Raw genomic sequence first — 15,405 nt, forward strand, 5'->3', positions numbered from 1 at the left:
TGGCCCCATCTGCTGACCCTAAATCTGCATTTCAGCCCCGCCTTGGGGTCCGTGGGCCTGCCGGGACATGTGAGCCTCACCTGCACTGTGACAGCGTCTGGGGTGGAGGTGGCACTTAGGAAAACCCAGGGTGGGTTACGATAGGCTTCCCAGTGACCCTGACTGCACCCCTGCTGAGAGCTCAGATTTGTTTGGGCGTCCGTGTGTGTGTGTGTGTGTGTGTGTGTAAGTGGGTAGGTGTGTGTGTCTGCACGCACGCACAAGTGTTTGGGGGTGTGTGTGTGCGCGCGCGCGAGAGTGGATGGGTGGGTGTGTGTGTGTGTGTGTGTGTGTGTGTGTGCAAGTATACACCACACAGCAGCTAAGCCCTGGTAGGAGGTCTCAGAGGCGGGTCCATTGGAGTGCTGATGCCCACCCCGCGTGCCCTCTCAAGCACCCACTTTGGACCCCGTGATATTCATCTCCAGAAGGAATAGCTCCGTTTCAGGAAAGTGCTGCTGGGTGGGCTGTGGCCCAGGAATCACGAGGTAGGGGGCAAACATGCTCTCTGGATGTGCTGGCCCTGGGAAGAGGAAGAGGAGGAGTCCCAAGGTGGAGATGCCTGCAGCCGAAGGCCCTCCCAGAGAAGGGAAGACTCCAGAAGAAGAGAGAGGGACTGGGAAGCGTGTAGGCCAAAGGGGTGCCCACAATAAGCGTGGGCCCATTTGTCATTTTCCATCTGACCATGAAAGTAATAGCTTACAGCCAGGCACGGTGGCTCACACCTGTGGACCTAGCACTTTGAGAGGGCAAGGTGGGTGGATTGCTTGAGCTCAGGAGTTGGAAACCAGCCTGGACAACAGGGTGAAACTCTGTCTCTATAAAAAATATTTTAAAAATTAGCCAAGTGTGGTGGCACGTGCCTGTAGTCCCAATACTCTGGAGGCCGATGTGGGAGGATCACTTGAGTCTGGGAGGTTGAGGCTGCAGTGAGTCGTGATCACGCCACTGCACTGCAGCCTGGCCAACCGAGTGAGACCCTGTCCCTGCCACAAAAAAAAAAGTTGGCCTATAATTGAGACTTCTGGGTCTATACCCAAAAGAATTGGAAGCAGGATCTCAAAGAGATATTTGCACACCCATGTTCATAGCAGCATGCTTCACAACCGCCAAAAGGTAGAAACAACAAAGTGCCCATCGTTAGCTGAATGGATATGCAACGTAGTCATCCATACAAGGGAATATTCTTCAGCCTCGGAAAAGAATGAAGTCCAAATGATAATAATAATGAAGTCCTGATACATGCTACAACATGAATAAGACTTAAAAACCTGATGTGAGGCCGGGCGCAGTGGTTCATGCCTGTAATCCCAGCACTTTGGGAGGCAGAGGCGGGCAGATCACGAGGTCAGCAGATCGAGACCATCCTGGCTAACACGGTGAAACCCCGTCTCTACTAAAAATACAAAAAATTAGCTGGGCGTGGTGGCGGGCACCTGTAGTCCCAGCTACTCGGGAGGCTGAGGCAGGAGAATGGCGTGAACCCGGGAGGCGGAGCTTGCAGTGAGCAGAGATCGTGCCACTGCACTCCAGCCTGGGTGACAGAGCGAGACTCCGTCTCAGAAAAAAAAAAAAAAAAAAAAAACCTGATGTGAGGTGAAAGAAGCCAGCCAGGAAACACCACATACTGGATGATTCCATTCCGAGATGTTCAGAATAGGCAAATCCACGGGGACAGAAAGTAGAGTGGTGGTCGCCAGACCCTGCGGGAGGGGGTTTAAGGAGTCATCGATGGGATTCGAGTTTAGTTTTGCAAGATAAATAGAGTTCTGGAGATCGGCTGCTCAGCGACATGAATGTGACTTAACACTACTCAACTGCCCACTTTATGGTGTGTATTTTACCACAGTAAACACACAAGGAAGGGGAGAGGAGGGGAGGGGAGGGGAGCCAAGGAGAGAGGGAAGGGAGGGAAGGAAGCTTCCACCTTTTGGCTGTTGTGAAGAATGTTGCTATGAACACGGGTGTACAAATATGTCTTTGAGATCCTGCTTCCAATTCTTTTAGGTATAGACCCAGAAGCCTTTTTTTTTTTTTTTTTTTTTTTTTTTTTTTTTTTTTTTGAGACGGAGTCTCACTCTGTCGCCCAGGCTGCTGGAGTGCAGTCTCACAATCTCGGCTCACTGCAGCTTCCACCTCCCGGTTTCAAATAATTCTCCTGCCTCAGCCTCCCAGGTAGCTGGGATTACAGGCGTGCACCACTACACCCAGCTAATTTTTGTATTTTTAGTAGAGACAGGGTTTCACCATGTTGGCCAGGATGGTCTCAATCTCTTGACCTCATGATCCACCTGCCTGGGCCTCCCAAAGTGCTGGTTTCACAGGCGTGAGCCACCATGCCCAGCCAACCCAGAAGTCTTAATTATAGGCCAACTTTGTTTTTTGTTTTTTGTTTTTGCAGTGGGGACAGGGTCTCCCTCTGTTGCCCAGGCTACAATGCAGTGGCATAATCACAATCATGTCTCACTGCAGCCTCAACCTCCCGACTCAAGTGATCCTCCCACCTCAGCCTCCAGAGTAGTTGGGACTACAGACACATGCCACCACACCTGGCTAATTTTTTTTTAATAAGGAAGGGAGGGAGGGAGGAAGGAAGGAAAGGAAGGAAGGGAGGGACGAAGGGAGGAAGGAGAAAGAAAGGAAAGAAAGGAAAGATAGAGAAGGAAGGAAAGGAGAGAGGAAAGGACTCCTTCCTTCCTTGCAGTCCCTGTAGCTGCTTTCCTCAGGGAGCGTGAACTGATCGTCTTGGCCCCTCTACTGAGACTGGAGTGGAGGGACACAGCACTCCATCGGGGGACCGTGGTCCCCAACTCCAGGACTGTCCAGCAGTAAAGCAGGCAGTAGCCTCAGAAACGCTGGGAGGAGTAGGGAGGATGCCAAGGCACAGGAGCCTCTGCCAGGGATGCAACTGACACAGACTGGAGATGAGCACCTAAGAATTATGATGCTCTTTCCGGTCCCCATGTAGCTGGGGGTGGCGATATGACCAGCCCTGGCCAGTGAGTTCTAAGTGGAAGTGATGCGGGGTGCTCTAGATCTGGAGGATTTCATTGCCAGACACAGGCCCCTCCAGGACTGTCCTTCCCTCTGCCACGGTGGTTGGCAGTGTCCCAGGCAAGCCTGCTCCAGCAGGTAGACGTGTGGCCTGGATAAGAAGGCCGGCTACGGTGGTGGAGGCCCCTGTGATTGGGAGATGCTTGTCGCTCGGCACAACCAGGTTTGACTTGACGCTACACTCCTTCTTCCCAGTACCCTAGAATCACGTAGTCCTTGAGTGGGGAGAAGGCCAGCATGGGATATTTCATTGTATATATTTATGTATGTCATACACCCCTCATGGGCAGAGCCAGGACCTCCAGGATCTGATCGTAAATTGGGCACTGTGTGATATTGGGCAGGTCGCCCTGTCCTCAGTTTCCCGATCTATAGCCAGGATCTCCCCAGCTATGAAATCAGTGACCAGCACTGTTTCTTTGCCTGTCTGTGCACCGTGGACTCACATGCAGAGCAGGGCTGTTAGATTGTAAACTCCAGACACCAGACATCTCTGACAAAGGAGCTCTGTGCAGATGACAAGCATCGGGCAGACGCGTACTTAATGGTTTTTGACCTGAAGGTGATAATGGCTTAATAATAAACGGATGGTTTTACCCCCAAGAACCCTTCTTCTCATTGACTGATGTGTTTGCAGAGAGCTCAGAACTGCTCTCACAGGCTGTAAAAAGCTATAAAAATGTAAACTATCATTGACATCATCTGCAAGAGGAATTTCTCATACTGACATTCCTCTTCTCACGATGGGGATTCATGTCAGCCTGTGCTTGGTAGGGGAAGAGGCCAGGGGAGTGTAAAATATGAGGATGCAGGATCAGGCGGGCTCTGATTTGCAAGCAGCCGAGGCAGATGCCAATGATCATGCAGAGAAGGAGTTTATTGAAGAATGTTGCGAGCTCCTACAGCTGTGATGAGGTGGGTGAGCCAAGCCCACTTCCAGGAACGGTGTCCCAAATCACCCCACAGGACAGTGGGCCTGATGGGAAACCGGCAGCATTGCAGCCACCGAACGGGGAAGGCACCCATCATATGGGGATGCTCCCACAGCACAGAGAGGTGCCCATCATATGGAGATGCTCCCACTGCACAGATACTCCCATTGCACAGATACTCCCACAGCACAGAGAGGTGCCCATCATATGGGGATGCTCCCACTGCACAGATACTCCCATTGCACAGATACTCCCACCGCACAGAGAGGCACCCATGATATGGGGATGCTCCCACTGCACAGATGCTCCCACGGCACAGAAAGGCACCCATCATATGGGGATGCTCCCACTGCACAGATACTCCCATTGCACAGATACTCCCACCGCACAGAGAGGCACCCATCATATGGGGATGCTCCCACTGCACAGATGCTCCCACGGCACAGAGAGGCACCCATCATATGGGGATGCTCCCACTGCACAGATACTCCCATTGCACAGATACTCCCACCGCACAGAGAGGCACCCATCATATGGGGATGCTCCCACTGCACAGATGCTCCCACGGCACAGAGAGGCACCCATCATATGGGGATGATCCCACTGCACAGATACTCCCATTGCACAGATGCTCCCACCACACAGAGAGGCGCCCATCATATGGGGATGCTCCCACTGCACAGATACTCCCATTGCACAGATGCTCCCACCGCACAGAGAGGCACCCATGATATGGGGATGCTCCCACTGCACAGATGCTCCCACCACACAGAGAGGCGCCCTTCATATGGGGATGATCCCACTGCACAGATGCTCCCACTGCACAGATGATCTCATTGCACAGATGCTCCCACTGACAGAGAGGCACCCATCATATGGGGATGCTCCCACTGCACAGATGCTCCCACGGCACAGAGAGGCGCCCATCATATGGGGATGCTCCCACTGCACAGATACTCCCGTTGCACAGATGCTCCCACCGCACAGAGAGGCGCCCATCATATGGGGATGATCCCACTGCACAGATACTCCCACCATGCAGAGAGGCTCCCATGATATGGGGATGCTCCCACTGCACAAATGTTCCCACTGCACAGATACTCCCACCACACAGAGAGGCGCCCATCATATGGGGATGATCCCACGGCACAGATGATCCCATTGCACAGATGCTACCACTGCACAGAGAGGCACCCATCATGTGGGGATACTCTTGCTGCACAGATGCTCCCCACACACAGAGATGCCCCAGTTACGCTGGACCAAACCCAACTGCCACCAGCGCCAATACCCATTGTGTTCCAGGCACTTCACTTTGTAGCCACTGTGTCCTCCCTCACCACCCAAGCTGGGCATCGCTGGGTGATGAATTCTAGGGCAGCCTCCTCTCTCAGGGTGGACATCACAATGGTGCAGTCTGTCACTGTCTGGTCCCTGGTGGCAAAGGGACCGGGTAAACCCGTTGTCAGGCCACCTTGGGGCTGTGAGATGTCTGTAAGGTCGGTAGTGCCAGTATGGTAAAGGCATTTGAGGGGTGGGCAGGTCGGTGCACAAGATCAGCGTCCACCCTGCTGTCAACCAGGGCAGCAGGAGCATGGCCACCTCAGCTGCAAATCAGGAGGGTTTCCATTATTGGACCCAAAGATCGCAGAAAACCCAGTGGAGGCAGTTTGCAGGCGGTACTAACCACACAATGCATTTGCTCTGACACAGGACCAGGGCACGTAGTAGACGGGCAGGGGTCAGGGAACCTGCCTGGGGTTCTGGGCCAGGCTACATAGGGATAAAGCAAGCCCCTTAACCGACTGGATCCCAGGATCCTGGCCCATAAAGGGAGAGGGTTGGAAGAAGATCTTCCACATCCCTTTTGCCCTAACCTGGCAGTCATACACCCAAACTGGGGGGTAGTGTTGGCTTTGTGGTTTTAATAAGGTTAAAAGCAGGCCAAGTCTTAGCTCAAGAAGCTGGCAGGCTGAGTTAATTCCGGAGAAAACAAACGGGAAGCCCAAGACCTTGGACATAGATCTTTTATTCCCTCCTCCTTGAAATTCTCCATCCCCAAGCGCTTATTAATGTGGAATTTGCTGCTTGGGGGAGAACCAACTCTCCGACTTCAGAAACATTTGTAAGAGCAAATTTAATAAAGCTAAGAATAATACCATTCAGATGTAATTCCTTTATTTTGCATGATTATTCCTTCTTTTCTATCGCAAGGCATTTGAAATGCAAGGAGTTATTGAGATAGCAACAAAAGGAAATGGCTAACTGGTTGATTACTGATTAAACAGTGCTTGGGAAAAAACAGAAGAAAGAACTTGAAAGGGGAACCAGCCTGGGTTGTACAGTTCTTTTATATTTCTTTTTCCTTTGATTATGAATGGCAGAACACACCTGCATTCTTTGCCACACAATCATTCGGTATTGTTGCTTTATTGTATGTATGTTAATATCGCTAAGCTATGGGGTGAAATTTGTATGAGATTTTCACAAAACACAAATGCAAGGAGGGTGGTATTTCCCCTGACATCTCTTAATACTGTGAAATTATTCTGCCAGCCGTAGGCCGACTGCGGGGGGAGTTTCCCTTACTCCCGTCCAAAGTCGCTTTTTAAAACAGAAACCCTGCAAATTGCCCTTCTTTCATGAGGGCCGGATCTTACATTGGTAATATAAAAGATGTTTACATTCCACAAAAGGAAAAGAGAACCCTGCACCCAGCGCCAGATGAAAACGATCCAGTGTGTGTACGTTGCTGGAATAAGACATTGTGACTTCCTTGTCATGTTTTGAGAGCAATGAAGTGTTACCACTTCAAGTCCTTCGAGAGCCGGGAAAGTATAAAATAATAACACACAAATTGTGTTGTGTTAGTTGAACAGGCCACAGGCTAGGATGGCTACGAATTCTTTGCTCAGGAATAAGGCAGCTGCTTGAGTGTTGAGAGAATGAAATGGAGGTTGTCCGTTCATGTTGTCAGAGATGTTTGAACCAAAACGACTCCATCTTGAATAGGGGCTGGGTAGAATCAGGCTGGGACCTACTGGGCTGCATTCCCAGGAGGTTAGGCATTCTTAGTCACAGGATGAGATAGGAGGTCAGCACAAGCTACAGATCACAAAGACCTTGCTGATAAGATAGCATGCAGGGCCGGGCATGGTGGCTCACAGCTGTAATCCCAGCACTTTAACAAGCCGACACGGGTGGATCACCTGAAGTCAGGAGTTCGAGAGCAGCCTGGCCAACATGGTGAAACCCCGTCTCTACTAAAAATACAAAAATTAGCTGGGTGTGGTGGCAGCGCGCCTGTAATCCCAGCTACTTGGGAGGCCGAGGCAGGAGAATCGCTTGAACCCGTGAGGCGGCGGTGGCAGGGAGCCAAGATGGCGACACTGCACTCCAGCCTGGGTGACAGAGTGAGACTCTATCTCAAAAAAAAAAAATAGCATGTGGTAAAGAAGCTGGCCAAATCCCACCAAAACCAAGATGGCGATGAAAGTGACCTCTGGTCATCCTTACTGCTCATTATATGCCAATTATAATTCATTAGCATGCTAAAAGACACTCCCACCAGTGCCATAACAGTTTACAAATGCCTTAGCAACATCAGGAAGTTGCCCAATATGGTTTAAAAAAGGGTGGACTCTCAGTTCCAGGAATTGCCCACCCCTTTCCCGGAAAACCCATAGATAATGCACCCCTTGTGCCTCCCTCAGACTCCCAAGTAGCTGGGATCCTCCTGCCTCAGCCTCCCAAGTATCTGGGATTACAGGCACCCACCACCACGCTCAGCTAATTTTTGCATTTTTAGTAGAGACGGGGTTTCACCATGTTGGCCAGGCTGTTCGCAAACTCCTGACCTCAGGTGATCCACCCACCTCGGCCTCCCAAAGTGCTAGGATTACAGGCGTGAGCCACCACGCCCGGCCAGCTTGGGTCATTCTAATCTCTTCTGAAATGAAGGAGAAACCACTGCCCGAGAGCCTCTGGAAAGGCCTGGTGGGCAGCAAGGGTGCTGGGGGGGGGGGTCCCAACTATTCATGGGGGCTATGTCTTCATCAGCAGCGTGAGAATGGACTCATACATCCTCTAATCAGACCCCTCTGCAATTGTCTGGTCTTCATCAAACCGAAGCATAGAAATACACATTGGCCGGTTGCTTTGGGCCTTCATTTCCTTAGGAAAGTTCCTGTGTCACATAAAACGTACATTAAACACGTGTGTAGGTTTTTCTCTGATAAATCTGTCTTTTGTTATAGGGGCCTCAGCCATGAACCCAGCCATGGTTGAGGAAAAGATCTCTTTTTATCCGCAACACCAGCACTCCCCATGTGCCAGGCTTTGTCATCAGGGCTTGGAGAGAGAGAAAGAGAGGGCACAATAAGCCCCAGCCATCCAGGCAAAGTCCAGTTACTCTGACCTGAACTGCTCACTGTGGCCGGAGGAAGGCCTGGGGTGACTGGCACAGGCCCAGTTCCTTCCAGAACCTGAAATAATCATTGTGGCAGGGAGTCGTTGATCCAAAGGAAAAAACCGAGGCAAAATCAATACAAGTAAGAGTATATTTGGGGGCTGGGCGCGGTGGCTCAGACCTGTAATCCCAGCACTTTGGGAGGCCGAGGCAGGCAGATCACCTGAGGTCTGGAGTTCGAGACCGGCCTGACCAACATGGAGAAACCCCGTCTCTACCAAAAATACAAAATTAGCTGGGCGTGATGGCGCATGCCTGTAATCCCAGCTACTTGGGAGGCTGAGACAGGAGAATCACTTGGACCCAGGAGGCGGAGGTTGCAGTGAGCCGAGATCACGCCATTGCACTCCAGCCTGGGCAACAAGAGCGAAACTCTGTCTCAAAAAAAAAAAAAAAAAAAAAGAATATATTTGGGTCAAGTTTGAGGACTGCAACCTGGGAGTATACATTCAAGTTGCCCTGAATATTCACTGTGATTAGCAACAGTTACAAGTAGGTTTTTGAAGGAAAAGAAGAGGCAGTTCCTAAATTGTTTACCAAGAATTTACATTAAAATAACATAAATTGGCTAGGTGCAGTGACTCATGCCTGTAATCCCAGCACTTTGGGAGGCCAAGGTGGGTGGATCACCTGAGGTCAGGAGTTCAAGACCAGCCTGGACAACATGGTGAAACCCTGTCTCTACTAAAAATACAAAATTAGCCGAGCATGGTGGCGGGTGCCTGTAATCCCAGCTACTTGAGAGCCTGAGGCAGGATAATTGCTTGAACCCGGCAGGCAGAGGTTGCAGTGAGCCAAGATTGAGCCATTGCACTCCAGCCTGGGCAACAAGAGCGAAACTCTGTCTCAAAAAAAAACAAAAACAAACAAACAAAAAAAAAGTAAATTGTTCTAAAGAGCTTCTGCATAGCAAAAAGAAACTATCAACAGAGTAAACAGACAATCTATAGAATGAGAGAAAATATTTGCAAACTATGCAGCTGACAAAGGACTAATATACAGAAACAATAAGGAACTTAAATGAATCAACAAGAATAAAATAATCCTATTAAAAAGTGGGCAAGGGGCCAGGCACGGTGGCTCATGCCTGTAATCCTAGCGCTTTGGGAGGCCCAGGCAGGCAGATCCCTTGAGGTCAGAAGTTTGAGACCAGCCTGGCCAACATGGTAAACCCCATCTCTACTACAAGTACAAAAATTAGCTGAGTGTGGTACCGTGTGTCTGTAATCACAGCCACTTGGGAGGCTGAGGCAGGAGAATTGCTTGAACCCAGGGGAGGAGGTTGCAGTGAGCCGAGATGGCGCCACTGCACTCCAGCCTAGGTGACAGGGCAAGACTCTGTCTCAAAAAAAACAAAGAACAAAAGACATGAACAGACACTTCTCAAAAGAAGACATACACGCATACAAGCAGCCAACAAACATGAAAAAATGCCCAACATCACTAATCATCAGAGAAATGCAAATCAAAACCACGAGGAGAAACCATTTCACATCAGTCAATGGCTATTATTATTATTATTTTTTCTGCCAGCATCTTGATTTTGGACAGAATGGCTGTTATTAAAAAGTCAAAAAATAGGAGATATTGGCAAGGCTGCAAAGAATGGGGAATACTTATACACTGTTGGTGGGAATGTAAATTAGTTCAGCCACTGTGGAAAGCAGCTTGGAGATTTCTCAAAGAACTTAAAATAGAACTACCCTTCAACCCAGCAATCCCGTTAGTGGGTACACACCCAAAAGAAAAGAAATCTTTCTACCAAAAAGCCATCTGCACTCATATGTGCATAGCAGCACTATTCACTATAGGTTAGATATGGGGTCAACTGAGGTGCCCATCAATAGTGGATTGGATAAAGAAAATGTGGTACATTTCCAACATGGAATACTATGCAGTCATGAAAAAGAATGAAATCTTGTCCTTTGCAGCAACATAGATGCAGCTGGAAGCCATTATCCTAAGTGAATTCATGCAGAAACAGAAAACCAAATATGACATGTCTCACTTCTAAGGGGGAGCTAAACCTTGGGTACCCACAGATATAAAGATGGGAACAAAAGACATTGGGGACTCCAGAAGGGTGGGGGGAGTAGGGCAAGGGCTGAAAAACTTCCTATTGGGTACTGTGCTCACTACCTGGGTAAGGAGATCAACAGAAAACCAAACCTCAGTGTCACCCAATATATCCCCTAACAAACCTGCACATGTACCCCTTGAATCTAAAATAAAAATAAAAATAATAAGTTGTTGATTGGCTACACATTTTTCTCTGTATCACAAGTTGCAGGAACATGCAGATAATGGGTGAGGCAGTGAGTCAGGAACAAAATGCCTTTAAACCATGGCCCCCACGGCCGGGTGCGGTAGCTCATGCCTGTAATCCCAGCACTTTGGGAGGCCGAGGTGAGTGGATCACTTGAGGTCAGGAGTTCAAGACTAGCCTGGCAAACATGGTGAAACCCCGTCTCTACCAAAAATACAAAAAATTAGCTGGACATGGTGGCAGGCCCCTGTAATCCCAGCTACTTGGGAGGCTGAGGCAGGAGAATTGCCTGAACCCAGGAGGTGGAGGTTGCAGTGAGCTGAGATCGCGCCATTGCACTCTCAGCCTGGGTAACAAAGCAAGACTCTAAAAACAAAAACAAAAAACAAACAAACAAACAAAAAACTATGGCCCCCCAAGCACTGCAGGGGGACCTGGACTGAAGTCCTATACTACTGTTTCTCTGGGCCTGATATATTTTGTTGTATCTAAGCTGCTTTCCTCAGATACAAATCCTTCAACAAACCCTAGGGAAAATTTCCTCTCAAGTCCCTCCAATTCTCCCAGTTCTGCCACGCTTTGTACACCCCTAACGAAAGGGGCCAGGTGCAGTAGCTCAGGCACGTAATCCCAACACTTTGAGAGGCTGAGGAGGGTGGATCACTTGAGCCCAGGAGTTCCAGACCAGCCTGGACAACATGGCAAGACTCCTGTCTCTACAAAAACTACAAAAATTAGCTGGGTATGGTGGTGCACACCTGCGGTCCCAGCTACTCGGGAAGCTGAGGCCGGAGGATCGCCTGAATCCAGGAGGTAGAGGCTGCAGTGAACCAAGTTCAAGACACTGCACTCCAGCCTGAACAGAGCGAGACCCCTGTCTCAAAAAAGTAAAATTAAAAATGGGGCCCGGCGCAGTGGCTCACGCCTGTAATTTCAACACTTTGGGAGGTGGAGGCGGGAGGATCGTTTGAGGTTGGGAGTTCGAGACCAGCCTGGCCAACATGGTGAAACCCGGTCTCCACTAAAAATACAAAACTTAGCCGGGCTTGGCGGCGCACGTCTGTAATCCCATCTACTATGAAGGCTGAGGTGGGAGGATCGCTTGAACTCGGGAGGTTGAAGCTGCAGTAAGCCGAGATCGCGCCACTGCACTCCAGCCTGGGCGACAGCGCGAGACTCCGTCTCAAAATAAATAAATAAATACATACATACATAAAGTAAAATAATGAATAAATAAAATAAGAAATGGGGAAATGGATCAGCAAGAAAGTGCCCGCCCCAGGCATGGGTGCCGTGCGGGACGGGGACGCGGCCCAGCCGGGAATCGGGGTGCCCAGGGTGCGATGTGCGAGGGGCTCCTGAGCGCGTGTGCTCCGCCCGACCCCGCCCTGTCCCCCCGACACACAGGTGGACCCAGGGTCAGCTCGTGCACCTGGGAAATGGCTCCCGCCGGGTAGCAGGGGCGGAGGGGCGGGGCTGGGCGGAGGGGCGGGGGGGCGGGGCCTGCCCGGGAGCCACGTCCGGGGAGGGGCCAGGTGAGCGGCAGACCCGGCACGCAGGTGGGGGCCGGCGGGGTCCGTGGCCAGGTAAGGCGGGCGGCGGCGGGAGGGAGCGCGCAGGGAGGAGGCCGTGCTCGGGGTGGGGGGGTGCGCCGCGGGGGCTCCCAGGGCGTGTACGGGGACAAGGGGCCGCTGGCCGGGTAGGGACGCCCAGGCGGGCGCGACGCCACGTGCGGCCGGGGGGAGACCCTCCGGCCGGCGCGCAGCCTCCGGGTCCCCTGTGGGTTCTAGACTCCCTCTCCCTTCACCTCCTTTCTTTCCCGCCCCCCCACACTCCCCTCCTCTGCTTTTTCCCCTGTCCTGTTCCTTCTCACCCCGCACCGCCTTCCCCGCCCTCGCCTCTCTCAGCCTGCGTTTTGGTCTGGTCTGGCCGGACGGTGTCAGCTCAAATGTTCCTTTTTTGCTTCCGTCCTGGGGTCTCAGGTTAGGTCGGGTCAGCGCCTGGGGGAGGCACCTCCCCCGCCCCCACACACCCCAAACCTACAAGGTGGGTGAGGTCATTCCCGTTTCATAGATGAGAAAACGGAGGCCGGGGCAGGTGCTGCGCTGATTCAAACTCAGGGGGTGGGGGGCTGGCCGGTTCAACACACAGCGGTGGAACCCCCCGGGAGTTAAAAGCAGAAACTTTTTTTTTTTTTTTTGACACCGAGTCTTGCTCTGTCCCCAGGCTGGATTGCAGTGTTGCATCTCTGCTCACTGCAACCTCCGCCTCCTGGGTTCAAGCGATTCTTGTGCCTCAGCCTCCCGAGTAGCTGGGATTACAGGGACTGACACCATGCCAGCTAATTTTTTGTATTTTTAGTACAGACAGGGTTTCACCATGTTGTCCAGGCTGGTCTCGACCACCTGACCTCAGGTGATCCGTCTTCCTGGGCCTCCCAAAGTGCTGGGATTACAGTCGTGAGACACCGCGCCCGGCCTAAAAGCCCAAAGTTTAAACCAATCCGCTAGCAGCCTCGGAGGTCGTCAGGAAGGCAGGGAGGCCCTGCCTTTCACTTTCCCTCAATCCTGTGGGGGGTGGGGGGGCTCCTGAGAATCCCTCGGGCTCTGCCACACCCTGACTTGGAAATTTCTCCGCTGCCTTGGGAGGAGTGTGAAGGCCCCGGAGAAGGAACCGCAGAGTCCACCCGGGAAGGAGGGTGGGATTGTTTGGCGGGATGGGGACAGCACCTTGGCCACCGACTTCAGGGTTTTGTGACAGAGGCTGTGTAGATTCCAGAGAGCTCTGTGCCGTCCCTCGCTTGCCTGTGAAATGCAGTGTTGGCATTTGTCCAGCTGAGAACTCAATGCTTAAGACTCAGCCGTTTCAGAAGTCGATGTCCTTTGGTTGGCCTCTCTGTTGGCAGCTTTAGGATCATGTTTGTGGACTCCTCATTCGATTCACTGACTAACCATTCCCCAAACCAACGCCAGAGTTGGGGGTAGGGCGAAGAGGGACATGGGATGTGGGCCTGAGCCCAGCTGATTCTTGTGGACAGCCAGCTGCCTGGTCCCTGCCCTCAGGGGCCCAGAGTCTGGCTTCTGTGTAGAGAGAATCCAAGGGTTTGTGGGAGCTTAGGAAGGGCTTCCTGGAGGAGGTGGCCATTGAGCTGGAAGGTGGATGGGAGGTGGATGGGGAAGAGAATGGCACCTACTGGCTAGGGATACTTCGCTTGTGAGGTACGGGTGGAAAAGTCCATGGAGTGCCTGACGGGGTGGGCCAATTTACTTGGATAACATCATTGGGTCATTGAAACTTTGTGTGTGTGTGTGTGTGTGTGTGTGTGTGTGTGTGACGCAGTTTTCGCTCTTGTCGCCCAGGCTGGAGTGCAATGGCACGATCTCAGCTCACTGCAACCTCTGCCTCCTTGGTTCAAGTGCTTCTCGTGCCTCAGCATCCAGAGTAGCTAGGATTACAGGCGCCCACCACCACACCCAGCTAATTTTTGTATTTTTAGTAGAAGTGGGGTTTCACCATGTTAGGCAGGCTGGTCTCAAACTCCTGACCTCAGACGATTTGTCTGCCTTGGCCTTCCAAAGTGCTTGGAGTGCTGGGATTACAGGCATGAGCCACCACACCCGGCCGAGTCATTGAAACTTACTTGACTTAAACATGCCTGGGACATCATGCCATCTGCCTAACAAGCCAGTTCTAGGCTGAGCTATTCATGGGCACACTGTAAACGATGGAGTTAAAGGCGGCTTCGGTTAAAGAGACGAGAGCAAGGAACTCAGGTCCTGGAGGTGCCTGACAGTATGTTTCACCACATTAAAAAAAACCCATCCCATTCCCTGATTTTACCCTCATTTCACTGATAGGGAAACTGAGGCACAGGCAGCATGAGGGTGAGAAAGAGATGGAGAAGGAGTCAGCAGACCTGGTTTTTAGGCAGGTCACTCTCCTTCTGGGGCACTCAGCCTCCTCATCTGCAAAAGGAGCTATTGGCTGTCCTTCCCCACTGCGATGGTGGTCACCAAATGGCCATGAAACCCTCACTGCACACTTGGCTGCCTGACTCCTTGCTCACATCAGGAGGCACGGACTGTTACTGCCCCGTTCACAGATGAGGAAACAGACAAGGAAGGTTAAGGTCCCATGGCTAGTGATTAGAGAGCCAGGCTTGGAAGCCAGCGGTGCTGCAGCTACAGTGTTCCCCGTGTCCCCACCTTCCTCCCACACACACTGTGCTGAGCCACCTCCCTGGGCACTGAGGTGTGCCTCCCACATGGGAGCTGGTGTCTGGTGTAAGATGGAGCCATTCGGAGCCTGCCGGTGACTACCCTTCAAATCTATGTGAAATTAGCATGGGGAGAGAAAATAGACGTTTTCCATTTCTTTCCAAATTATTTAACTTTTACCCCTTGGTCCTTTAATTAAAACTGATGCTCAAGGAAGATGCATCACGTGTGTCCAGATGCTTCCCAGGCCTCCCTGGGGTGCATTTGAGGGGAGAGCCTCTGGGCCCTGCACTGTGGGACTTAGCTGCAGGAGAGCGCGCTGCTCCGGAGTCCTGCCCCAGCTGCCTTCACAGGGCGTCTCCCTGGAGCTTCTGGCAGCCTGTTGTGTCCAGATTTCTGTGTCCCTGGAAGGCAGAGGACCTGGCTGAG

General features: G+C 51.6%; 2 protein-coding genes across 4 annotated transcripts in view; both read left to right on the forward strand.

Annotated features, from left to right (window-relative positions):
• The window catches only part of PRR5-ARHGAP8 (PRR5-ARHGAP8 readthrough), a 160,581-nt gene that overhangs the window by 38,079 nt on the left and 107,097 nt on the right, over nucleotides 1-15,405 (forward strand). The gene's annotated exons all lie outside the window — the stretch shown is intronic.
• Nucleotides 12,293-15,405, forward strand: part of ARHGAP8 (Rho GTPase activating protein 8) — a 110,210-nt gene continuing 107,097 nt past the window's right edge. For all 3 annotated transcript variants that reach the window (NM_001017526.2, NM_181335.3, NM_001198726.2), the window contains exon 1: nucleotides 12,293-12,345. The gene's annotated coding sequence lies outside the window, so the exon portion shown is untranslated. The remainder of the gene's footprint in view (nucleotides 12,346-15,405) is intronic.

Source organism: Homo sapiens, chromosome 22 (genome assembly GCF_000001405.40).
Source record: "Homo sapiens chromosome 22, GRCh38.p14 Primary Assembly".
In the NCBI taxonomy this organism is placed as follows: domain Eukaryota; kingdom Metazoa; phylum Chordata; class Mammalia; order Primates; family Hominidae; genus Homo; species Homo sapiens.